The sequence below is a fragment of the Homo sapiens genome, chromosome 3 (genome assembly GCF_000001405.40).
Source record: "Homo sapiens chromosome 3, GRCh38.p14 Primary Assembly".
Lineage (NCBI taxonomy): Eukaryota > Metazoa > Chordata > Mammalia > Primates > Hominidae > Homo > Homo sapiens.
The window spans coordinates 116,068,746-116,096,082 of NC_000003.12; the positions used below are offsets into that span (position 1 = coordinate 116,068,746).

General features: G+C 36.9%; 1 protein-coding gene across 4 annotated transcripts in view, besides 1 other annotated feature; it reads right to left on the bottom strand.

The window, feature by feature from the left end:
• The window catches only part of LSAMP (limbic system associated membrane protein), a 643,114-nt gene that overhangs the window by 266,372 nt on the left and 349,405 nt on the right, over positions 1–27,337 (bottom strand). For all 4 annotated transcript variants that reach the window (NM_002338.5, XM_017006383.3, NM_001318915.2 and 1 more), the window contains exon 2: positions 17,579–17,811. In NM_002338.5, coding sequence (NP_002329.2) covers positions 17,579–17,811 — 233 coding nt within the window. The remainder of the gene's footprint in view (positions 1–17,578; positions 17,812–27,337) is intronic.
• Positions 21,871–22,372: an enhancer, noted in NCBI's record as "NANOG hESC enhancer chr3:115809463-115809964 (GRCh37/hg19 assembly coordinates)". NCBI's record gives its function as "activates a minimal SCP1, AML or CMV promoter by ChIP-STARR-seq in primed H9 embryonic stem cells {active_cell/tissue: H9 hESC(primed)}" and the evidence as "EXISTENCE:reporter gene assay evidence [ECO:0000049][PMID:30033119]".

The window sequence follows — 27,337 nt, forward strand, 5'->3', positions numbered from 1 at the left end:
ATGTTAATGTTAGAAAATAAGATATTCATTCATTACCAAGTATTTTGTGAAGTTCTGTGTGGTTTCAAAGAGAAACAATGCACATTCTGTACACTCTGGGAGCTTGCACTAGTAGAGGAAATAAGGTGTGTAATGAAACAGCTATGTTATAAAGTGGAATGTGATGTGTTTTAAGAGAGAGGTAAATTTGCTTCCCATATTACAGAGAAAGAACTTGCTTGTGGATAGCAAGATCAAGTAAGCCATGATCAAGATATCACTTTACATAAACTATGCTTGGTGATATGTTTAAAACTTCAATAGGAACTCATTGTTACTCCTCTGCATAAAACCTTCAGTCAGTTTCTATTACACTTAGAATATCCACACACACCAAAAAAGAAAAAACACAAAACACGGACCCTAACAGGCCTGCAAGGTTCTGGGTACCTCATCAGCCTCCTCTTGTTTTCTATCTGCCCCTTCTTAGCACGTTTCAGCTCACTGGCCAGGCCCTTTCCACATGTCCTAGTTCTGCCTGCAATCCTTCTCACACTCCATGTGTGGCTAACTCTACCTTCACAATTTGGGGGAAGACTTTGATTATCAAGGATATAAATTATGCACATACAAAGAAGTAAATTTGGAACAACGTTTGGACTCATTCCGGGTCAGACTCTTATGTATGAGCAGGCTATCACTATTGTTAGCAGCCGAAAGATTTTTAAGACAGGAAATGAAAATGACAGAGCTATATGTCATAAATATCTTGTAGGAATGTTTAGGACAGTTTAGAATACAGAAAGGTGGGTGTGAGAGATACCACTTTCCTCAGAAAAAAAAAAATGTGGGAAAGAGGTAATGAGGGTCTATGTTAGAGAAGGTAAGGAGGCACAGTTCACAAACATGTTATCACTGACTGAAAAGAAGAGATAAATGGAATGGAGATGTTAGAAATAACTCTGCTTTCAGGGAGATCAATTGTGCCATTATCAGAAATAGGGACATCAGAAAGAAACAAGAGATATTTTGGAGGCAAAGATTAATTTATTTTTAGTATAATAAAAGTGAAGTGGCTGATAGATAGACAGAAATGCTTATAAGGTATTTCTGGGCTAGAATTCAGAAAAATAAAGGGAAACGCTGGCAATGAAGACTTGGAATCAAACTATATAGATGTTACCATTAAAGATGAAGTCATCAATGGACAAAATCGGAAAGGGAAGGAGAAGCAAGGACAGCAAAGCAAGGACAGCTCTGATGAAACATATAGGAATATGAAGATCACACAACTAAAGGAGATCAAGTTGACACAATCTGTGAAATGGAAGGAACATGAGAATATTGCATTATTTCAGGAAATAAAGAGAAAAGGAATTGCAAAAAAAGGGAATTATTCATAGTGTGCTTAAATAGAGGTCAAAGAGAATGACATAAGAAGGCTGGCTCTTTAAAAAGGGAGGGACACTGGGAGGCTAAAGTAGAGGATATGGAACACAATAAGATAGGCAACTGAGTTAAAAATTAGCAAGTGATGAGTGGAGAGACTTACTGAAAGCTTACTCAACTGAGATTAGCAGGACTTTATAGGGTACACAGCAAAATGTTATTATATCCAATTTTCTAGGAATATTTAACACCCTTTAAATAAAGGGGAAAAGAGAATTATTAGAGTTGCTCGTGGTTAGAGACAGAAGAGATCAAAACAAGATAAGATCGAATAAGAATTCTGGATACCAGTAAAGTGGACACTGAAATGTCAGACTATAAGCTCTAGCTTGGCTAGACAGGCAAATTATGTCAGTAAATGGTTAAAGGAGCATCCAGGAGGTCCTGATTTAAGTGTTCTTTTTTAAAATTTAAATTAGAAATTTTATGCAGGAAATTGTTTATTCTGCAATTTTACTTGAGTTGAGGAGATTGACAAGGTCCTACCCACACAAAATCTTTGCCTTTGTTCCTCCTCCCTGAGACTTGTGTGTGACTGTGCAGGCAGCATTATCTTTATGATATCTCTTTTAAAAATAATGTACCTGCCGGGCACGGTGGCTCATGCCTGTAATCCCAAAACTTTGGGAGGCCAAGGTGGGCGGATCACCTGAGGTGGGGAGTTCGAGACCAGCTTGACCAACATGGAGAAACCCCATCTCTACTAAAAATACAAAATTAGCTGGGCGTGGTGTCACACGCCTGTAATCCCAGCTACTAGGGAGGCTGAGGCAGGAGAATCGCTTGAACCCTGGAGGTGGAGGTTGCAGTGAGCCGAGATTGCACCATTGCACTCCAGCCTGGGCAACAAGAATGAAACTCCATCTCAAAATAAATAAATAATAAATAAATAAATAAATAAATAAATAAATAAATAAATAAAATAATGTACCTACATGAGGTGTAATAACTTAAAAACTTGGGGCCTAATCACTCTAGCATAGATGATTTTGTGAGTTTGCATAAAGAAAAAAAAGAAGAGTATGAACACTCAGGTGAAGAAATGATGGAGGGCTAAAGAAGAAAAAATAAAAAGAAATATAAAAGGGGGAAAAGGGCATCACAACAACTTTCACTCTCTGAAAAGTTTTCTGAAAGGTTATCCTCTTAATAATCATGAGGGTTTTTTTTTTTTTAACAATTCTTCTTGAGCTGTTCTTCAGGTACAACACACAAACACACACAAGTTTATAAACTAAATAATATAAATTTCTACCTGTAAAGCCAACACCCTTCTCCCCAAAAAACTGTAAAAAATATTTTGTTATATTTTATTCTTTTTTTCCAGTGGAGGTATGAGTACATATGATATATTGACCATTGTTGATAAAATTGAGGTTACATATTTCACTGTTTTGTAAACTACCACTTCATTTTTTTCTTCAACTTTTATTTTAAGTTCTAGGGTACACTGGCAGGATGTGCAGTTTTGTTACATAGGTAAACGAGTGCCATGGTGATTTGCTGCACAGATCAACCCATCACCAAGGTATTAAGCTCAGCATCCATTAGCTATTCTTTCTGATGCTCTCCTTCTCCCTGACCCCAACTAACAGGCCCCAGTGTGTGTTGTTCCCCCTCAAGTGTCCATATGTTTTCATCATTCAGCTCCCACTTACAAGTGAGAACATGCAGTGTATGGTTTTCTGTTACTGCATTAGTTTGCTGAGGATAACAGCTTCCAGGTCCATTCATATCCCTGCAAAAGACATGATCTCATTCCTTTTTGTGGCTGCATAGTATTCCATGGTGTATATGTAGCTTTTTTTTTTTTTTTTTTTGAGATGGAGTCTTGCTCTGTCACCCAGGCTGGAGTGCAGTGGTGCGATCTCGGCTCACTGCAAGCTCTGCCTCCCGGGTTCATGCCATTCTCCTTCCTCAGCCTCCTGAGTAGCTGGGACTACAGGCACCTGCCACCACGCCCAGCTAATTTTTTGTATTTTCAGTAGAGATGGGGTTTCACCGTGTTAGCCAGGATGGTCTCGATCTCTTGACCTTGTGATCCACCCACCTCGGCCTCCCAAAGTGCTGGGATTACAGGCGTGAGCCACCGCGCCCCGCCAGCATATTTTCTTTATCCAGTCTATCACTGATGGGCATTTGGGTTGATTCTATGTCTTTCCTATTGTGAATAGTCTTGCAATGAACATATGAGTGCATGTATCTTTATAATAGAATGATTTATATTCCTTCAGGTATATACCCAGTAATGAGATTGCTGGGTCGAATGATATTTCTGCTTCTAGATCTTTGAGGAATTGCCACACTTTCACAGTGATTGGACTGATTTATACTCACCCCAACAGTGTAAAAGTTTTCCTTTTCCTCTACAACCTCCCTAGCATCTGTTAAGTTTCTTAACCTTAATAATTGCCATTTTGACTGGTGTGAGACGGTATTTCATTGTGGTTTTGATTTGTATTTATCTAATGATCAGCAATATTGAGCTTTTTTTTCATGTTTGTTGACTGCATAAATGTTTTCTTTTGAGAAGTATCTGTTATTGCTATTTGCTTACTTTTTGAAGGGGTTGTTTGTGGTTTTTTTTTTTTTTTTTTGTAAAATTAAGTTCCTTGTAGACTCTGAATATTAGACCTTTGTCAAATGGATAGATTGCAAGATTTTCATCCCATTCTGTAGATTGTCTGTTTACTCTGATGATAGTTTCTTTTTCTGTGCAGAAGCACTTTAGTTTAATTAGATCCTATTTGTCAATGCTTGCTCTTGTTGCAATTGCTTTTGGCATTTTCATCATAAAATCTTTGCTTCTGCCTATGTCCTGAAATGGTATTGCCTTGCTTTTCTTCTAGAGTTTTCATAATTGTGGGTTTCACATTTTAGTCTTCAATCCATCCTGAGTTAATTTTTTTATAAACTTTAAGGAAGTGGTCCAATTTCAATTTTCTGCATATGGCTAACCAGTTCTCCTAGAACGATTTATTAAATAGGGAATCCTTTCTCCATTGCTTGTTTTTGTCAGGTTTGTCAAAGATCAGATGGTTGTAGGTGTGTGGTCCTATTTCCGAGTTCTTTTTCTGTTCCATTGGTCTATGTGTCTGTTTTTGTACCATTACCGTGCTGTTGTTGTTACTGTGGCTTTGTACTATAGTTTGAAGTTGGATAGGTTGGATGGTGTGATGCCTCCAGCTTTATCCTTTTTGCTTAGGATTGTCTTGGCTATTTGGGCTCTTTTTTTGGTTCCATATGAATTTTAAAATAGTTTTTTTCTAATTCTGTGAAGAATGTCAATGATAGTTTAACGGGAATAGCATTTAATCTATAAATTACTTTGGGCAGTGTGGCCATTTTCACAATATTGATTCTATCCACGAACATGGAATACTTTTCCATTTGTTTGTGTCCTCTCTGATTTCCTTGAGCAGTGTTTTGTAGTTCTCCTTGAAGAGGTCCTTCACTTCCCTTGTTGGAATGCTAGTGACTTTTGCATATCAATTTTGTATCCTGAGACTTTACTGAAGTTGCTAATCAGCTTAAGAAGCTTTTGGACTGAGACCATGCTACTACTTCATTTAACCATATATTGCAAATATTTTTCATCATTTATTAAAATGTTTCATAAAACATGATAGTTAATGTATGCTTAGTTGTATAACTCAGTGTTTTTATTTGGAAAAAATAGAAAAAATAAGATTTGGCTGTCTTATGTAGAAAAGGAAATCATTGCAACCCACATCACTGGGAAGACTCTAAAATAAGAATTATGCCAAAAATCATATAAAAAGGGCATGACTGCTGTTGAATCTGAACAAGAATGCCATAGCTCTCACCACCAACAACGTGGCCCTGGATCCAGGCCTTACTGAAACATCAATGATACAACCACTTCCATATAAGCTCACTGGTACAAGTGCCACCAATTACCTGAATAGATTCTCCTTGGTTTTGAGTTCCTTGTATCAACAATATCTATTAAAAATTCTAATTCTAAGGTAGGTGCACTGGAATCTTAAAGCCTGGATCTCATGCTGAAGCCTCAGTTTTGAGGATGCCTGGATTTTATTTCAGCATTTATACTGGGTGGTAATGTCTGCCTCCCAACCATATTGACAAGGAGGAAAATCCCCCAAAACAGGGAAGAGGTTTGAATGCTGGGCAGCCACTATAATGTTCATTATAATAGTATTTCTCATGAAATGACCTTAACTTAACTATCCAATTCCTTAGTCTGAATATTTATGACACTTTCCATAATTTTTTTAAAAAAATAATTCTGTAATGACCACTTTGCCCAAAACCATTTGTATTTCAGATTGTTTTATTTCTATACACACAGAAATGGAATTACTGAGTCAAATGATACAAATATATTTTAAAACTTTGATAGATATCCCTACATTACCCCAGGGAAAGTTTCCATTAATTTACACTCTCAACAGGGAGATATAAAAGTGTCAGTTTTCCTACTAACTTGTCAACTCTGGCTATCCTCATTTTGTTAACCCTTTCCTAGTATCACTAGTTTTAAAATTAACAATTTATTGCTGTTTTACTTTGCATTTCCTTGATTATTAGTGAGGTTTTAATAATTTTCCATGTTTGCCATTTCCATGTGTCCTTTTGTAAATTGGCAATTTATGTCTTTGACAAAGTTTAGTCATATTTTCTTTATTCTTTTTTTTTTTTTTTTTGAGATGAGTTTCACTCTTGTTGCCCAGGCTGGAGTGCAATGGTGCGATCTCGGCTCACCGCAACCTCCGCCACCCGGGTTCAAGTGATTCTCAGCCTCCCGAGTAGCTGGAATTACAGACATGTGCCACCACCTCTGGCAAATTTTGTATTTTTAATAGAGACATGGGGTTTCTCCATGTTGGTCAAGCTGGTCTTGAAATCCCGACCTCTGGTGATCTGCCCATCTTGGCCTCTCAAAGTGCTGGGATTACAGGTATGAGTCACTGCACCCAGCCATTTTTTTTTTTTTTTTTGAGAGAGAGTCTTGCTCTGTTGCCCAGGCTGGAGTGCAGTGGCCAATCTCAGCTCACTGCAACCTCCACCTCTAGGGTTCAAGCAATTCTCTTGCGTCAGCCTCCCAAGTAGCTGGGACTACAGGCACGTGCCACCACTCTTGGCTAATTTCTTGTATTTTTAGTAGAGACAGGGTTTCACTATGTTGGCCAGGCTGGTCTTGATTTCCTGACCTCGTGATCCGCCCGCCTCAGCCTCCCAAAGTGCTGGGATTACAGGCGTGAGCCACAGCACCTGGCCTTTTTTCATTTCTTAAAAATTGTCTTCATTAATCTGTTGTAATCTATTCATATGCCAATGGCATTAAAGCTTTATCTGCTTTTTTATTTTGTTTTTAAATCACTTTATCGTTTTTTTTTTTTTTTAGATGGAGTCTCGCTCTGTCACCCAGGCTGGAGTGCAGTGGCACAATCTCGGCTCACTGCAACCTCCGCTTTCTGGGTTCAAGTGATCTCCTGCCTCAGCTTCCCAAGTAGCTGGGACTACAGGCCCACGCCACCACACCCGGCTAATTTTTGTATTTTTAGTAGAGATGGGGTTTCACCATGTTGGCCAGGCTGGTCTCGAACTCCTGACCTCAGGTGATCCGCTCACCTCAGCCTCCCAAAGTGTTGGGATTACAAGTGTGAGCCACCGTGTCCAGCCTCTAGAGTCTTTTAATTTTATATATTTACATATGTTTAGCCAAATTTGTTTTCTATACCTTTCATTTACTTTTATGCTAAGACAGCCTTCCACACTCCATTGGAGAGACATTTATTGATAATTCTTTCTAGTCTTTTTCTTTACTTTTTACTTTTAAATCTTTAAGAGATCTGGTGTTAATTTTCATACATGGCTGTTTAGTAAAAATACAATTTTTTAAAAAATTAATTCATTCAAAACCATTTGTTGAATAATGACACTTTCTCCGTTATGTTAAACCTGCATCATATGTGACATGACCATATGTGGTAGACTTTTGAGCCTTTCATTTAGATCCACTGACTTGATGGTTTTTAAATATGTTTTGCAGATGTAGTTTTCTAGCTGTAGAAGTCTTTCTTCCCAATAAAATAATAACTTTTTTTTTTTTAATTTGAGACGGAGTCTCGCTCTGTCACCCAGGCTGGAGTGCAGTGGCGCGGTCTTGGCTCACTGCAACCTCCACCTCCCGGGTTCACACCATTCTCCTGCCTCAGCCTCCCGAGTAGCTGGGACTATAGGAGCCCGCCACCACGCCCAGCTAATTTTTTGTATTTTTAGTAGAGATGGGGTTTCACTGTGTTAGCCAGGATGGTCTCAATCTCATGACCTCATGATCTGCCCACCTCAGCCTCCCAAAGTGCTGGGATTACAGGCATGAGCCACCACACCCGGCCAATAATTATTTTTTAAAGTTGGTTATTTATGCCTGTCCATTCTTCATAATTAATTTGATAAATTTGGTGTAATTTCAGTTTCAAAAGCTCCAAAGTAATTTTTAGATACATAAAAAATTCAATTTACCTTGGGGATCATTATATTTTCATTTTAAACATCTTTACATCTTTAATGATATTTGTGTTGCCATTCAAGAATTATTTCGTTCTATTGTAAAACAACAGCAAAAAATACCCAAACAAGCAAACAAACAAAAAAGCCAGTTCTTTCATCCTTTCAATTTTTGCATTTATGTTCTCTCCATTGTTTATTTAATTTATTCTTAAATGTTCTTATATTTTTGCAGCTTTGTGAATGACCATTTTTAGTATATTTTATGTGTTTGTTATAACTATATATAGAAACTATTGATTTAATATATTTCTTCAGATAAATGCACAAGTTACCAAACTATTGTTAGTATTCTTAATATACTGTATATTAATACAAATTAATATATTTGTTAGTATTGTTAATATATTTGTATTGTTAAATATTGTTAATATATTTGCTTATTAATTTATAAGTGTTTTTCTAGTTAATCATATTAGCTGGAAATATTGATAAATTTATTTCCTCCTTTCCCATATTTAAACCATTGTATTTTATTATCTTGTTTCATTGCATTGACTATAGCCCCTAAACTAATGTTACGTAATAATAATGATTGTTGGTATGCTTGCATTAGTCCTGACTTTAATTACCCATCTTTTTCATGTTAAGAAATAAATCATCTATACTTAGCTCACTAAATTCCAGAGTATTTTAAATACATCAAGAATAGAAGTTAAACTATATCCTATGTATTTTGTTCCTCATGGGATTATCTCATGATTTTTGTCTGTTGACTTTGTAATGAAGTATATTTTATTCATACATTTCTTTATAATGGATTATGCTTGAAAAAACCTGCTTAATTATGCTGTATTTAATATTTAATATAATTTTTTACTTTATTCACAGGTTTTAATCTTAATATCTGCCTTAAGTATTATTGCCTTCAGTATTATTGTATTTCACTTTCACTTTGAAATAATTTCAAGTTTAATGAAAAGTTATAAGAATAATACAAATAGTTCCCATGTATCCTTCACCCAGACTCTACTTAAGTTTTGTCAATTGCTGCGTCATGCCTTGTCTAGAAAAAGGTCACATAGTATACCCAGTTGTCATTTCTCTCTTATCTCCTTCACTCTTGGGCAGTTCTTCAGTCTCTCTTGACTTTTATAACCTAGACATTTATGAAGATTAGAGGCCAGTCTTTCTATAGAATGTCCTTTAATTTGTGTGTGCCCAATGTCGTCCTATTATTAGACTCAGGTTCTAGGAAATATTTCACAGAAGTGATGTGTGTTTAGCTCATTGCCTCTTATCTTTTGGCAAATGATGCCAATTTGTCCCGTTACTAGTAGTGTTAACTTTGATCACTTGATTAATATTGTGTCAGTTAGGTTGTACTACTTTTTTAATTAGTCTTTTCTCTCTTCGTATTTAACAAATATTTGTGGGCAGCTACTTTAACATTATTCCTTATTTCATTTCCACTTGCAAGTTTTAGTATCCATTGATATTTCTTGCTGGAATTAATTATTTCTGTGATGGTTGCCAAATAATATTTTTAAAATTCCATCATTCCTTCTATTAGTTAGCATTCTATAATACAAAAGGGCTTTATATCCTCTTTATTTATTTATTTATTTATTTATTTTACTTTATTTTATTTTATTTTATTTATTTATTTTTTTTGAGAAGGAGTCTCGCTCTGTTGCCCAGGCTGGAGCGCAGTGGCCTGATCTGGGCTCACTGCAAGCTCCGCCTCCCGGGTTCACTCCATTATCCTGCCTCAGCCTCCCGAGTAGCTGGGACTACAGGTGCCCGCCACCAACACCCAGCTAAGTTTTTTGTATTTTTAGTAGAGATGGGGTTTCACCGTGTTAGCCAGGATGGTCTTGATCTCCTGACCTTGTGATCCACCCGCCTCGGCCTCCCAGAGTGCTGGGATTACAGGCGTGAGCCACTGCACCCGGCCCTATCCTCTTTACTTAATAAATAGTGCCTAATTTATATCAGAATTGTAATATATTGTAATTATTTCTTTCAATACCCAAATTGTCCTATACTTGGCTCGTGAAAGTCTCTCTCAAGCTGGCTTCCGTGTACTTTTGGCATGACTCGTCATTTTTTTGAGTACATTCTTACTTCCTGGCCCAAGAGATGCTCCAAGTTATATTGTTCCTTCCTTGCCCCAGTCCTGGTACCAGCTGTTTCTCCAAGTAACCCTTCCTTTTAGTGAATAGTTATATTTTAAAACCAACATGAAGATGCTAAGTATTAGGTATATGAATTGCTACTGGGGTGTCTGTGCTCCAGGGCCTCTTAGTGGGGAAGGGCAGGGTTAGGAAATATATGTACACAATTCTCTCTCTCTTCTATTAAAACTTATTAATAATCATTAATAACTTCAATTTCATCCAACATCACAAGGTTCATTTTAGCTTTCTCCCTGTCCACATTTATACTATCTTCTCCAACAATAAGAAACTTTTTATCATTATCCGCAATATTTTTATTTACTTCCTCAATTCTCTTCAATGTAGCCAAGGTCCCAACTTTCCCAGATGTTTTTCCCTTCAGCTGCTCTCTTGGGTGGGCCTGGCCCTTCGGAGATGCCTCCTCACTCAGAATCCTTTCTTCTTCAGGCCTTGGTACAGATTGGGCTGCTCTTCCACAACACTTCAGCCTGTCTAATAGCTTTTTAACTAATAAGAATGAAAGAAGCTGGCTAAGTGCGGTGGCTTACGCCTGTAATCCCAGCACAATGGGAGGCCGAGGCAGGCAGATCACGAGGTCAGTAGTTGGTCACTGGCAAACATAGTGAAACCCCTGTCTCTACTAAAAATACGAAAATTAGCTGGGCATGGTGGCGCACGCCTGTAGTCCCAGCTACTCGGGAGGCTGAGGCAGGAGAATCACTGGAACCCTGGAGAATCAGGCCACTGCGCTCCAGCCTGGGCAGCAGAGTGAGACTCTGTCTCAAAAAAAAAAAAAAAAAAAAAGAATGAAAGAAGCCTTATTGTATTTTGTATACTTAAATTGTTTTTCACTCAGGCAGACCTAGGACTGGAAACATTATAAAGACAACCCATGTCATACAGAAGAGTTTTGTCAAAAAAAAAGTTGCCTATTTGTAGCAAACTGAAAACAATAGAAATAACTATATATTAAATATATATATGCCATCTTTCTTGACTTTTTAAATACATAAATTCAAAAAATTGCCTTTAATATTTTTAAGAGTACATTTTTAAGGTAATGTGTAGAAAACACAAATGCTACAGTTAATGATAATTTATAGTGGCTTATGGTACTATTTAAACATATTTGAAAGGGTAGATATCCTTATTTTAATACCTAAGATTAAATATCTGTGTAACAACCAGATCATGTGTGAATAGCCACATATGATATTGCGTAAATCCAAGTAAAAATAACTTGCCATAGACCGGATGTAGTTACAATATTTAGCAGAGGCAGATACAATAAGAAATAAATCTCTACCTCCACATCTTCCTAATAACTCTCAAAATTCTCCCCATAAGGCATTAAAATCTTCATAGATTCAATGATTCAAGATTTAAGTATAGGTGAATATTAGTTAATCTCTGTCTTCAAGTAACTTTCTTTTTCTTTCATGAAGTCTATATTTTCATACTGAGCCAACTCTTGTGCCACTATTGGTACTAAGATAACTTTTTCTCTTTTCCCTTATTTTCTCTCCTTTGAAGAAGGAAGGACAAAAGCAGTTTAGATTAGAAAGTATGTGGATGTATATAGGTTATATAATTTAATAACTAAAAGATGGACTACAGGTATATAAAAAGGGTTTGGAGATAGTAATTAATTATGCTTGGATGGGATTGGTTTAGATAAAACTTGAAATCCTTTCTACAGGGAAGAATATCAGGTTAAAACTGCATGAGGCAATATTGCTAACCATCTTAACTAAAAAGTTTCAGTTCTTCCCTTTCATTAGCTGTCTGGTTGCTGATGTGAATAGTGAAGTCTTTCAAGTCTGAACCTGACCTATTAACAGCCAATCAAGAGGCTATTGTCTGAAAAATTAAGCTGAAGAGTAGAAAAATTAGTAGACTTCAGCATATAAAATTCAAATGAGAAAATTCCAGTTAATCACTAAGATTCTCAATAATCAACAAAATTCACACTAAGAACAAATCTAACTTCCAATTCTTATTTTATTAGAATGCCTTAAAATTTAAAAAGGAGCTATAGGCTAAACTTTTGAATAAAATTTTATAGGCAATGTATAATTGTTGAAAGAATAATCAATGCAACATGAGTTTATTAAGAAAGGGAAGGAAGAAGGATGGGAGTGAAGGAAGAAAGAAGAAAGTAACAGAAGGAAAGGAGAGCGATTCTGAGAGAAAAATGAGATACCGTCTTGGAGTTCTGGGTAACAGATTTTGGTCAGCATTTGGAATGGTTAACAGAATTGCAAAACTTGCTTCTAAAAATTTAAATCCTAGAAACAATAAGCTCTAGACTAATCACTAAAAATGTAAATTGGGGGCCGGCGAGGTGGCTCATGCCTGTATTCCCAGCACTTTGGGAGGCTGAGGCGGGTGGATCACAAGGTCAAGAGATGGAGACCATCCTGGCCAACATGATGAAACCTCATCTCTACTAAAAATTAGGCAGGCATGATGGCACGCGCCTGTAGTCCCAGCTACTTGGGAGGCTGAGGCAGGAGAATTGCTTGAACCTGGGAAGCAGAGGTTGCAGTGAGCCAAGACGGTGCCACTGCACTCCAGCCTGGCGACAGAGCAAGACTCTGTCTCAAAAAAAAAAAAGAGGTTGGGTTTCCTAATATTTAAGTTTTCAATTATTAAATTTAAAGGGCATCTAGAGACATTATAATTTTAAGCCATTTTAGATTTATATATATTCTAGGATTAATGAGATATAGGAAATGAGGCTTTTTAAATGTGGAGATTTTAAAAACACACACCAAACATGTTGGTCTTATAAGGAGTCCCACTCTCATATTTTTTCACAATTATATTATTTTATATAACATAATTATGCAATCCTGGCAACTAATGGATAAAGTCCGACAAGCCATGTGTGTGATTTGAATCACAGTGCTGAGAAAAATGTATGGGATTCTATTTAGTACGATAGTGAAATTTAAATCTTTATTTAGAAATACATTTTAAAACTTCAAAATGTTAAAAAAAATTATCTCCAATTTTAGTATTTGCAGATTAGGCCATTTTGAAAACAACATTAGCCAAATAAGAATAGCATAAAAATGGGAGCAAAAGATTCAACATAAAAATGACCACTCTATTATTGGTACCAACTTAACAATTAGGCAGTACGTAAATTGAAAATATGATAAAAGATGCGTTGTAAAATATGGTGAATGGGATATTTAAAAATAAGATTCTCGTTTTAAAAATGTTGTCATGTGAGGATTTCCTTTGTATTCATACACACATGAAGGTTTTTAATGTAACATTTAAAACAAATACCCTAGTTTTTGGAGCCAGTATTCCCAGGGCTCAAGCACATGAGATTAATCTATGTTTTTGATGAGTCTACAGATATTTTATATGATTTACTATTATAAGGCTCTAGTACCTGCTCTGTAGAGTTTTATATATAATTTGATTCAATGTCATACAAGAAAACGAACAAGCAGGGAGAGTAAATCCCTCTCTGATTGCTTAGATCCTTAGAGTAGTAGCTCTTGATTTTTGTGTGTGTGCATCTGAATCACCTGCAGAGCACAATGATTCAGAAGTTTAGTTCCCATTTTTATAAATTCTGATTCCATTGTTCTGGATGTGGTTCTCTGGAATCTGCATTTTGACAAGCATAGTAAGCCAAAATGTTGACTTTGCTTCAGCCTATACAAGAATCACATCTAGAAATGCTAGTTTAAGAAGCTCTCTATGGTAGAATTCTGCAAATGTTCGTTGCGGCACTGTTCAGAATAGCAAAAACATGGAATCAACCTAAGTGCCTATCAATGACAGACTGGATAAAGAAAATGTGGTATATATACACCATGAAATATTATGCAGCCATAAAAAAGAACAAGATCATGTCTTTTGCAGGAACGTAGGTGGGGCTGTAGGCTATCATCCCTAGTAAACTAATGCAGGAACAGAAAACCAAATACCACAGGTTCTCACTTATAAGTGGGAGATAAATGATAAGAACTTATGAACACAAAGAAGGAAACAACAGACACTGGGGTTTATTTGAGGGTGGAGGGTGGGAGGAGAGAGAGGATAAGCAAAGATAACTACTGGGTACTAAGCTTAATACCTGAGTGATGTAACCCTATGTACAACAAACCCCTCTGACGTGTTTAGCTATGTACCTCCAAACCTAAAATAATTTTTTTAAAAAAGAAGCTCTCTAGAATCCTAAGGAAGTAAAGCTGAAGACTAGATGTTAAGGAAAAGGACAGCTGAAAAAAATGGGCTAGAGGGACCCAAAATAAAAACGGAAGGAGCCTACTGCAAAGATAATAGGCAACGAGTGAAAGCGTCTGTTAGATTCTGGGTAGCACCTTAGGACAGGAGTGAGTTTTATGGAAATACTGGAGCACCAGCAACATCATGGTATTTGTCATCATCATCAACAGCATTGTTATCAACATCATCATCAACCTACTGGGTGAGAAAACATGATCTCCAGACACTGGACTAGAGGTTTACATAGATCATCTAATCCTTACAATAAATTTAGGAGGACTTAAAATATTAGTTTTATGTATATTTTTCATATGACAAAACTGAGCCTTAGAGAAATTAAGTGGTTTACCCCCAAAGTGTATTTAAACAGCAAGAATGAAAACAGATTTGAATCAAGCAATGCAACTCTGCAGAGCCCACCTTCTAAACTGCTATTCTTTGGTGATATCTCATAGCACCTTTGAGCTCAGGTTGGCCTCACCATTGTGTAAGGAAAAGGAATACAGTATTTACATAATGATTAGTTGAACTGAATTTGCAGAAACCATGGCGGATGATCATGGCAGGACATAAAAAATCAAAAGTGTCTTAGAGTCTAAAGAAAGGTGCTGTGAGGTTAGGAAAAAGGGAGATGTCAGCCATTCCTAGAGTTAGTATCTTTGATGTGGTGAAAACAATAGAGAGCTGAAGAATGGAATAGAAATAAATGGGAACAGTGTGAATGGATGGAACCTCTGAGGGGCACAAGGCTGAATGCCCCAAGGGGAAGTGATTCAGCCATCTGGTGCTTGAGATCAAATTATCTAATATGTACGTAATTGTCCAAAAATTCCCCTTGGCGACTCAGGCTCAAGGAGGATACCATGCTTTCTTTATCCCCCTTGTAAGTACAAGCTTTGTTGTTGATTTTTTTCTGTCAAAACAAATACAATAGTATCCTGAATCAGACAAACATGGGTTTGAAACCCTGTCCTAAGCCTACAGAAAGCCTTTGGCAGACTCCTTCCTGTCTCTGAACTTCAAGCTTTTGCATATATATAAAATAAAGTGAGAAACATCTACCTAAAAGTAATATTATTAGAATTAAATGAGATAGTAGATAAACAGGACTTGGCACTTCTCCATCCCTTAAGTTAAATTTAATTTCATTTGCACTGCCATGTCAGGAAGGTACATGCAGTATCTAACATAATTTTAGTTCTAACCCTTGTGAGATGGTCATGTTTGTAGCTTAAGAGTACAAAGGTAAATAAGAAAAAAAAAAGAGGAACATTGGGCATTTGGTGCTAAGAGCTCAGACTTAAATATAAATTCTTAACTATGAATCCTTAAATTAGTCTTTAAAATCATGGCAAAAAAAAAAAAAAAACCAAAAAAAACCAAAAAACTCCATTCCAGTGGAAAGTGCTTTAGATTTACAGATCTGCTTGGCACTCAACTATTCCCTGAACTGTCTTGTGACTTTGAGCAAGTAACCTAAATTTAATGAACTTCTATTTGCTCATCTAGAAACCAAGGGATATAGTGCTCAGATTGTCAAATTTATTCAGTATAGGATAATACACAATTTCTAGTTACGGTCTCTAGTGGCTTTTTAGTGACATCAAAGTCCATAAAGCTACTAAAATTGTGTAGAAATATCACAATATAATCAATCAGTTTTTTTCAAGCATAACCCATTATAAAGAAATATATGAATAAACAATCTTACATCAGAAATCAAAGAAGAAAAATCACGAGATAATCTGAATAACTGGTCAGTAGGTAAAATCTGTTCTAAGTGATCCTAAGTAAACTAGTTATCTCTCCTCCTTCTGCCATTGAATTTAGTAGAATTTTTTCTTATGTTTTGATGTGTGTGTGTGTGTGTGTTTGTGAATAAATGTGTGCTTGTATTTGTTTTGAGGGAGTTGGTAAATTAACCCATTGGCATATTTACATATTTCTAGTTATGTTTACAAATTTAAATAGGTTGCCTAAGATCCATACCCTGGTGTCTTTCTTGTAATGGAGCTTAAGTACGCTCTACTAAGCTACAAGAAAAACATCCTATGCTTTGACTGTGATTGGAACTTTGCAAGCTAGTAGACATGCCTTTACAAGCAATAAAATGAAGCTGTCAGCCATTGCAAATGGACCAAAATAGAGGCCACACGACTAAAGCACCCCTGCACCAGGCAGTCTCTGATGTATTTTATTCCAGTTTCAATCTATTAATCAGAGGAGTTGGGAGAGCAATAATTTAAACACTACAATAATCAATTCCATAACACATTAATAGAAGCTACAGTTAAACTTTTCCACACCACTGACTGCATTGGAACCTTGACAGGAGCCCTAGGGCCATGCCTAATTTGCATTAAATTTACATAGAATTATAAATCAAGAATACATGAACACAGCCCTAATGTTTGTTAGTGCTTAGATCTTTCCTGATAGATACATTGAAACTGCTGGTGGTTGGGCTTCACTTGCAATAAAATTGTGCAGCTGATCAGCTTTGTTCTCATTCTGCAATTATGGCGAAAGAAACCCAATTGAGCAACAGTTTGGGGGTATGTGAGTGCCATTTAAGGTTTTTATCCTGTAAAACGATGACTCAGATGTGCCCTTAGATCCCCCAATCTAGAAGCAAATTGTCCCCAATTACTTTGCAGATCTTTGTCACTGGATTTCATCACCAGTAACTTGTCATTAAGTAGAGATACAAACTACATAGAAACCTGAACAGCTGAAAAAATAAAAAGTCCTCTGGAAAATTTTATTTTTTCAGAAGAACTTTGCTATCACAAAAAAGATAATTAGTGCTAATCTTCAGGGTGAGGACAGATAAACCCAAACTTTCTTAAACTCAGCAAAGCATCTGGTACCTAACAGGGTGGAAAAGTGTACTTCATATGGCCCTAGGCATTCTGTGTGTTCTGGTATCCCTGATTTACATTGTTCCAACAGCTGTGGCTTTTGCCGTGTGTTTTCACACTCAGGGCTAGGTGAAAACATTCTCACCAATGTTACTGGCTCTCAGTAACAGGAGTACACTCTCTATATTGTTTTGGGTCCTCTCATTTTAAGTGTCTTTTTAGACAGAAAATCGATACTTAAGTCCAATAATATCTTTGGGAATATTTCTTTTCAGGAAGGATTCTGCAAATATTTTGTACATTATTATTCTGCAACTCCCACCTCTTTCTTACCACCCTTCTATCCCACACTTTCCTTACCTTGTACGATCAAGTAAACTTGGGAGGTCTTGGGCTCATGCTGTGTCTGAACTGAGCAAGTGTAGGAACCCTCATCATAGACATCCACCTTCTGGATTCGGAGGCTGTATTCCAGAGAATGGCGTTTCTCCAGCTCAACCCGTGGGTCCAGAGACCACTTGTCATGTCCAGCAAAAATGATGCCAGAACGGTTCAACCAGGCCACCTTTGAGTTCTTGTCTTCTACAACGCACCTGACAGAGCAGAGTAACAATATTAGTGCCTTAACAACAACTATTTCTGCGTTTCTTCTCTAGGTGATCAGACTCAACAAGTCTAAACAAGGAAAATAATTATATGCAGAATGAATTATTGCCATGCCATTCTTGGAGTCCTTAGAATTTTCACTATTTCATTTAAGATCTAATTACCATCCAGTGGATGGATGTCATTATATTAGACTCAGTTCAGCAATAAACAATCTGAGTATGAGTAATGAAGGCAAAGTTAAATTAGTATTGACTTCCCATTATCTTCTTCTTGTTTAGGAAAAGGCCACTCACTCAGAACTCCGTCTGTTTAAGTAATTTTGAGAATTATACAATTGATATCATAGCACTTTTACTCCATCTTGAACTGTGTTTACTCTTTTATAAGTATTTCCTATAGTATTGTGTAATGATAGATTAAAGTTATACTCCACCATTATAGGAATTAGACTAGACTTCTGAGTTTACTTCTAATCTTTACAAGTTTGGGATGCCACTTCCAGGAGTAAAAATTGTGTGAGCAGATCCAAGCATAAGGGGATAGGTGTTATGACAAGGAAATCAAAGCAAACATCATCTGGCATAAGTTTGGTTCCAGCTGCTGAAGGCAGAAGCTTGTTTGGTGGCAAGTTAGGTTGCTACCAGCATTTCTAGTCACACTAAATGCAGGCAATCTTTAACAAAGATGAAGAAGCCAATTTTGTAGTTTATAGACCAATAGATCAAAAAGGGTAAAGGAATAACGCTTAATTGAATTACTGCTTTAAAAAACTTAAAAGGGTCTCTTTCTGAAATTTGAAAGGGGCAAAGAACATGCATTAGTGAAGGAGGGGTAAATACTTTTTGGTGAGTATGGTTTTCTCCTTCAGTTCCAGCAAGAGTCTTGCAATGGAAAAATCTAGCAGAAAACAAAAACAAAAAAACCTTCTGTCTGCATCCCTGTGGCAAGATTTATGTCTGCCCCATAGGGAGATGTCCCAAACCCTGTTCACAGCTGCAAAGCCAGCTGCTCAACACTCTGGAGCAGGAGGGAATGAACAGAAAGAGCCACGAGCACCACAGCAGGACTATTAAGACACCCTGTTCCCCTGTATTTTCTAAGCCAAGTAAAATCCAGTTTTTATCTCAGGTCAAAACAACTAAACATAGACAGAAAATTGATGCATAACCCATAGGCTGTCCCACATGGAATATAAAGGCCAACTGTGTCTCTTACAAGAAAGATAACAGCTAAGTCTTTTTAAATACTCCATTTATGGTATAATACAAAGACCTCCTTATCCTATTAATTTTAAACGAATTGTATATGTTATTTAGAGGGAGATTTTTTTTTTTTTTTTTGAGACAGATCTTGTTCGGTCACCAAGACTGGGGAGCAGTGGCCTGATCATAGCTCACTGCAGCCTCAAACTACTGAGCTCAAGCAATCCTCCTGCCTCAGCCTCCTAAGTAGCTAGGATGATAGGTGCATGCCACCAGGACTAGCTAATTTAAAAAAAAAATTAGAGATGGGGTCTTGCTGTGTTGTCCAGGCTAGCCTCAAGTGATCTTCCCAACTTGGCCTCCCTAAGCACTGGGATTATAGTCATGAGCCACCATGCCTGACCCTAGAGTAAGAATTTGACTTAATAAGTTGGGTGCCAAGATACACAGGTCTTACTTTTCTTCTTTACCTATTTGTTTTCATAAACATAACTAGATTTAGGTATCATTTAACATCTCCATTTCCCAGTATGTGCTTCTCTGCCATGCATATATTATTGAGTATAATTTATGTGTTTAATAATTTAGAGGCCTTTTATCATGAGCACCAAGCTAACTTCATGAATGCTTGCTGCCTCATTCCAGACTCAGTTTTACTTTTGCTGTTCTCCTCTCTTGTGGCATCATTTCTCTGTTCTTGGTGATGTTTGCCGCATCTCTGAATTTAAAATCATTGATGAATTAATTAATAGGATGTTTGGTGTCTTACTCTAGACCATTATGAAATTGTTGAATGTAGATTTACCATGTTTTTTCTATTCTAGTAAGAAGGATAGAAATTTACCTGTGTAAATGTGTTTTAAATCTTCTATCATTTTTCCCTGTGCATGTTTCTCACCTGCACAGCGTAACACAAGAATGGTCAGATTTGCTACATTATAGATGTATTCTGAATGCCTCTTAGCACCAAATATGGCTCCAATCTCTTCACTTTAAAAGAAAAAATACCACGTAATATAGCTTACCTAAATATGGCCTGTGAATCCAATAAAAACAGCAAATTTTTACCTTATTCATTTGGATACCACCAATAACTAATCTAGGATAAAACAGGCATTTGATAAATGCCTGTCCTGTGAACTAACTGGGTCACACATGCAGATACAGGACATTTGGTAACCTATATTCCACGTCCCCATCCCAAGTCCTATAGCACCCACAAATAAATTGGACAGATTTCCTTAACAATATAAGGTAAAGTTTATAAGTCGGGTCTTTATGGTCCTTTGACATTTTAGCAAATTTCATTCATGGAAAAGTTAAAGTCATACGGATCATTATTCCAAATTATTCTTTGAGGGTGTTCAGCTCTATCTTACCTAAAGAAGTAATTGACCATTTCAGCAAAATTGCCAGATGCATAAAAGTGCATCTAATGAAACAATGTATTATGTGGAAATTTTGTTATGACAATTTACATAGCACCTTGTTTTTGATCTGGGTTTTATCCGTATTTATTTTTAAAATTCGTCTTTTACTGACAAACAAGTGAATAGTATATTAGAATACACATATACTTTTTTTTGTTTTGTTTTGTTTTTGAGATGGAGTCTCGCTCCGTCGCCCAGGCTAGAGTGCAGTGGTGCAATCTCAGCTCACTGCAAGCTCTGCCTCCCAGGTTCACGCCATTCTCCTGCCTCTGCCTCCCGAGTAGCTGGCACTACAGGCGCCTGCCACCACGCCCGCCTAATTTTTTGTATTTTTAGCAGAGACGGGGTTTCAGCGTGTTAGCCAGGATGGTCTCAATCTCCTGACCTCGTGATCCGCCCACCTCGGTCTCCCAAAGTGCTGGGATTACAGGCGTGAGCCACCGTGCCCGGCCTAGAATACACATACTTTTTCCTAACTCAGATGGTTAGCCAAACTCCAAGCACCAGAACACAATACAGTATAGTGTTTTTAAAAAGGAAACCATTTCAAGGAGAAATTTGTTTAAAATAAATATATCTCAATGGAAAAAAAATAAATAAATAAAAATAAAATAAAAAGGAAACCACTTCTCCAGATCTTTCAGGGTTCCTTTTTATGTACTCAGTAGTTGCAAAATAAATCTATTAGCTCTATAAACTGGAAAATAATCCTTCTACAATGTGACTAAAACTTTCTTAATAAAAAATGAGTAAAGGAATAATGCAATTTCAGAACTAAATATTTTCTTAATTTTAGAATCTTAATTTAAGGTGGCACCTATTTTTTTTAATCATAAAAAGTACACATGAAAAAAAATGGTAGGACCAGGCACGGTGGCGCATGCCTGTAATCCCAGCTCTTTGGGAGGCTGGAGGCAGGAAAATCACTTGAACTCAGGAGTTCAAGGCTACAGTGAGCTATGATCACATCACTGCACTCCAGCCTGGCCAGAGTGAGACCTTGTCTAAAAAAAAAAAAAAAGAAAGAGAAAGAAAAGAAAATATAGTAAACCAGAATCAGTAGTTTCAATTTGTAGAGGTCTACGTTTATTAAGAGATAATAACTAGTCATACAGTGTACTGACAGACCACCTGGCTATCTGGAAATAAGAAATGCTGATATAAATACAGACCCAGGTTCCCAGCATTCACTGAATCACCAATAAGCATCATGGGCTTGCATCTCTGAGGTCTGCTGGCTCAACTGTGCATTAGGCAGGCTTGTGGAGTAAATGAGAATTCTCGGGCCATGCCATTATAATATGATAATAATGAATTATCACCTACCTAGAATGTTGCTGCAATTTAGTTCTAAACTTTATACTTAATGATTTTGTTTCGGGGGACCTGCCCCGGAAAATCACGTAGGTTCTTTTCTATTTTCCTAAGCGTCGGCTGGCTTGAGAAATAAAAGGACAGAGTACAAAAGAGAGAAATTTTAAAGCTGGGTGTCCAGGGGAGACATCACACGTTGGTAGGATCCGTGATGCCCCACAAGCCACAAAAACCAGCAAGTTTTTATTAGGGATTTTCAAAAGGGGAGGGAATGTGTGAATAGGTGTGGGTGACAGACATCAAGTACTTAACAGAGTAATAGAATATCATAAGGCAAGTGGAGGCAGGGCGAGATCACAGGACCACAGGACCGATGTGAAATTAAAATTGCTAATGAAGTTTCGGGCACCATTGTCATTGATAACATCTTATCAGGAGACGGGGTTTTGAGATCAACCGTCTGACCAAAATTTATTAGGTGGGAATTTCCTCTTCCTAATAAGCCTGGGAGCGCTATGGGAGACTGGAGACTATCTCACCTCTGCAATCTCGACCATAAGAGACAGGTACGCCCCTGGGGGGCCAGTTCAGAGACCTACCCCCAGGTGCGCATTCTCTTTCTCAGGGACGTTCCATGCTGAGAAAAAGAATTCAGTGATATTTCTCCCATTTGCTTTTGAAAGAAGAGAAATATGGCTCTGTTCTGCCCGGCTCACCGGCGGCCAGAGTTTAAGGTTATCTCTCATATTCCCTGAACAATTGCTGTTATCCTGTTCTTTTTTCAAGGTGCCCACATTTCATATTGCTCAAACACACATGCTGTACAATTTGTGCAGTTAATGCAATTATTACAGGGTCCTGAGGTGACATACATCCTTCTCGGCTGACAGGACTAAGAGACTAAAGTAAAGACAGGCATAGGAAATCACAAGGGTATTGATTGGGGAAGTGAGAAGTGTCCATGAACTCTTCGCAATTTATGTTTAGAGATTGCAGTAAAGACAGGCATAAGAAATTACAAAAGTATTAATTTGGGGAACTAATAAATGTCCATAAAATCTTCACAATCCACGTTCTTCTGTCATGGCTTCAGCCGGTCCCTCCGTTTGGGGTCCCTGACTTCCCGCAACAATTTTATCTCTAGAATCAACCTGGGCTAAAGCAGGAAGATAAAAAGATGTATTTCAAAAACCTGTTAGTGTTATGTGTTGTTTTAATAGAATGTTGTCTTGAGGAACACATGATGTTGCAAATAATTCCCAGGTTTAGAAAGAACCGGACCCTAATGACAATGGGTGTTAGTGCCACGAGGAGAGGATCAGAGAATATCCTTCCGCTTTGGGTGGGTTTTATGGAAGGCAGCTGAGGACATGGACGTATGCTATAAAGTGCCACCTCTTCAGAAAATCTTCTCTCGTCAGTGTAACCTTCTTAAAACTTCCTTTTTATGACCTTATCATACTCCACATTGCATTAGAGTTATTTGCACTCATCTTTTCTCATAAGCTTATTAAGACAGTGACCTTCTTGTAATTCACCTCTGGAGCCCTCACTGAGCCTAAATACCATGTGCATAAATACCATGTGCATAGTAGATACTTGCTGAAATGTGGAATAAACAAGCTGAATTTAATTTAACAAATTGCATTAGGTCAATTATAAAATATTCATTAATTATCTAATAGGTACAGTAAAGATGGATAACTATTTTAATATTTCTTAAGAAATAATTAAAGTTATTAGGTATAAAGGGAAATTTAAAGAGAATTATTGAGTGTGGTATTAAAATGAAAGTAAAGGAGAGAAAAAATGTGTTCCTGTGTCCACTATGAAGAAATATCATCTCTAGGAACTAAATGATCTATATTGCATGTGAAAAACTGTGAAAAAAAAGTATAACATCCTAAATAAGTGATTAGGAGGTTGCTCACGTTAATCATGAACCCTCAAATATTAGATGGGTTACCTACTGGAACTGCAAATCTATGATTTTTAAAAAATCATCTCTTAAAAAAATTAGGAAAGGTAAGCACACAAATTTTTATCTTCCCTGTTTAGTATATTTGATTCCATAAAACTGTCACAAAAAATCAATGCACCCATACAAATCTTAAGCATTGAATTTCTTCAAACACTTTACATCAAGTCTATTATGCAGACTTATACAAACAGGTACATTGACAATTCTAGTAACATTGCACAAGAGTGGGGGTTATACTGCTTAAAAAATGAATATAACTGGAGGTAGAAAAGAAATGCTAAAATCAGTTTGTACCAACAGATTACTTAATAGCATATGTACTGACAAGATATCTATGATGTAATTGATACATATCTACCAAATATTAAGCCTGTTCAATTGCTGCTGGACACATTTCATATTTAACAAGCATTAATGGCTGTTAAAAAACATACCAACTTAGGATTCAAATTTGTCCAGACTTAGCCTTGCATAAATTTCCTTCTTTTCTCAAGAGTATAATCTGGTATTTATTCACTGATAACAAATAAATATATTTTATGTAATCCGCACCAGTTATCTATACTCATATTTATACATTGCAGAGGCTGGGAGCAGTGTAACTGGATGGGTAAGAGAAATCTATTTGTTTCTTAAGAAAGAACAGTTAGATAAGTGGTCCCAAGTGAAGGCAATCTGTGCCCCTAGATGACACTGACAATATCTGGAGACATTTTTTGGTTGTCACAACTAGGGAGGGGGTGTTGCTATTGGTTTCTAGTAGGGAGAGGCCAGGGGTGTTGCTAAACATCCTACAATGCCGTGGACAGCCCCCAATCACAAAGATGTATCTTATCCAAAATGTTGACAGGATCGAGGTTGAAATACCCAGATATAGATGTCTGTCTCTTGGTTTACACATCCAGAAGCATAGGACAAACATCTAAAGTGCAGTAGTGTGTTTTCATAGGCTTATGCTTTTTAATTTATACCTACTTAATTGTCAGCAGCAAAGTTCATGACAAAGGCACAGCAATGAGGCCTAGTGAGGCTCTGGTTGTAAGTCGATAGTTAATGATTATAAGTTAGTAGTTAATCATGCCCCTTTTGTTGTTTTACTTTAGTTTCATAATCGTAAAATGATGTAATCATTTCATAACACCCAGGATAGGTAAAGGAGAATCATTTGGAGAAAAATTGATTTTTTTTAAGAAAATTAGTCTTTGTTCATCAGAAAACTTTTTCATTGACCTTTATTATTTTTCACATTTGTGAATCTCCCTCTTTTGTAAGATATGGAAAGATTCAAGATGTGGATGGGAAGGATGTCTTCAAGAATGTTATTTTGATGCTGTTTGCCTTGTAACTTCAATCCTACAAATAAAACCCTTAGTGAATCAGCAAAACTATCATAGAATCATTTCACTCTAGAAGGAAAGATAATTGGTCTGGGAAGTGATGCTATATATTCCCAGCATTAAAATGTGGAATCAGAAAAATTCTAAGCAGAGAATGGAATAAAGCATGAAAATATCCCAGATTCTCCTGAGTCAGAAGTCCTTAGTCTGGTTTTATAACATTATTTTAAGTATAATGAATTCCAACAACTATGCAAACACATCAAAAAAATAAATACCAAGTTAGTTAAAAACCAAATTTAAGGAATTTTAAATCATCAATCATTTTGAAGCATCTTTGCTTCATTACCATTTTCTAAGATTAGACTCAATTAGAAATAAAAAAAGAACTGTGGGAATTCACTGCTGACACTCAGGAGCCCTGTTAGCCTTTGCTGCAACTAAAAGCTTCAGCTCCTTACCTTCCTTGCTCCTAGCTTTAGTTCTTTTCACACCTGACCTCTGGTTGGACCCCTGTCTGCTATCTTGGTGTCATTCTCTTGCTCTTGTGCATGTCTGTTCTCCTCATCTTCATTCCCTTGACCCAGACCCTAATCTTAGTTTGGTAATGGTTGACTTCTCTGGATTCATACCAAATTGTAGACCAGTTAACACTATGACAGCATCTACATGATCAGATTATCTCCCCTCACCCTTGCTTCTTTGCACACATTCATATACAAATGGCTACATGCACACACAGAAGTAGAAATGGATGTTCAGGGCAGGGTAAGAACACCGAGGTAGTAGAACACAGAGGTGGTAAACCCACAGGAACTGAATTCATGTAAATATATTACCACATGATTCAGAAATCTGTGTACTGTGTACTGCTGATGGAGTGCTAGTGTAAAAAACAAACAGTTTAGATCCTGAAGAGGCTCATTTTAGTTCTGGCCTTGCAGCCTATTTACTATTGGAACACAGATAAGTCTTTTAACTTTTCTGAATCTTAGTTTCTTCTTAAGTAAAATGGGGCTAACGATACCTGTTCAACCTCTTAGAACCATTCTCAGCATAGTTCTTTAAATCAAATGAGGTGACGTACATAGAAACATTTCATAAAACAAAGCAATATATATGCTTATATTCATAGTCTCTCATTGTAAAGGATAGTAGATAAAAAGAAAACAGTCATATAAGAGAGATAACTAAAGGAAAAACATTGATTTCTCTAATCACATTCAAAAAGTTAACCTCTTTATATTTTGCAGTGTGATGAAACCCACTAAACATGTATTATTACCCAGACTCTCAGATCAATCATGTATTTCTCTAAATGCTCAACTTTTATTAGTTATTCACATGTGCTCTACTGTGAAAGCACCCTTTCTGTGATTAGGCTACCACTTATTACAATGATCATCACCTGAAAGTGCAAAAGTTCACATGGCAAATGGCAAAACCCAGACAAGCTGCGCAATTTCTGGAGCAATGAAAAGGCCTCCATAGACATGCTTTTTGTCTCTTACTATCACTAAAGAACACCTTGTCCAGTCATATATGCATTGTTATATATGATACATGCATGACTACATTTCAGAATCATCTTTTTGAAGAAGCACAGATGCATATCCATGCAGATGGTAGAGGTTAAGAGAAGAGTGGATGGAAAAGAAACAGGACCACCCAATTAAGTCCTGAATGTGTCTCAACAAACTCCCTTCCGGCACCATCTGTATTCCTATTGTTGTCACATCAACTGTGCCATCTCTACATTCACATAGAAGAAATAAATGGGAAAAAATAAGACACAAATTCTAAAAAGAGATAAGTATTGAGACTGAGACCAGGAGAGAACCGATTTCTATCCCAGTCACAGCTGGAGTTAGAGTCAATCCCAGGAACATTTATTAGTGATTGGAAAGAGCTCTTCTAGGATCTTTCCAAGAGTCTGGATCACGTCAGAAAAATAAATCATTCTCTTCTTAATCACATCTCAACTCAAAATTCTTCCTTATTTTGTAAGTGGTGAAGTGGAAAAGTTATGGGTTCAGTAGTTTAGTAGCTTTAGGCAAGTTACTTAGCAGAGAAAGGCAGCGTGGTGGGGTGGCGATAGGTTTAGGCTACAAAGCCAATTTTCTGCTCTAAATTCTAGCTTCATCACATACTTGCTCTGTGGTTTTGGGACATTTGTTTATCCTCTCTGTGCATGTGTTTCCTAAGCTATAAAACGAAGATGATCATAGTATCTACCTTGTTTGGCA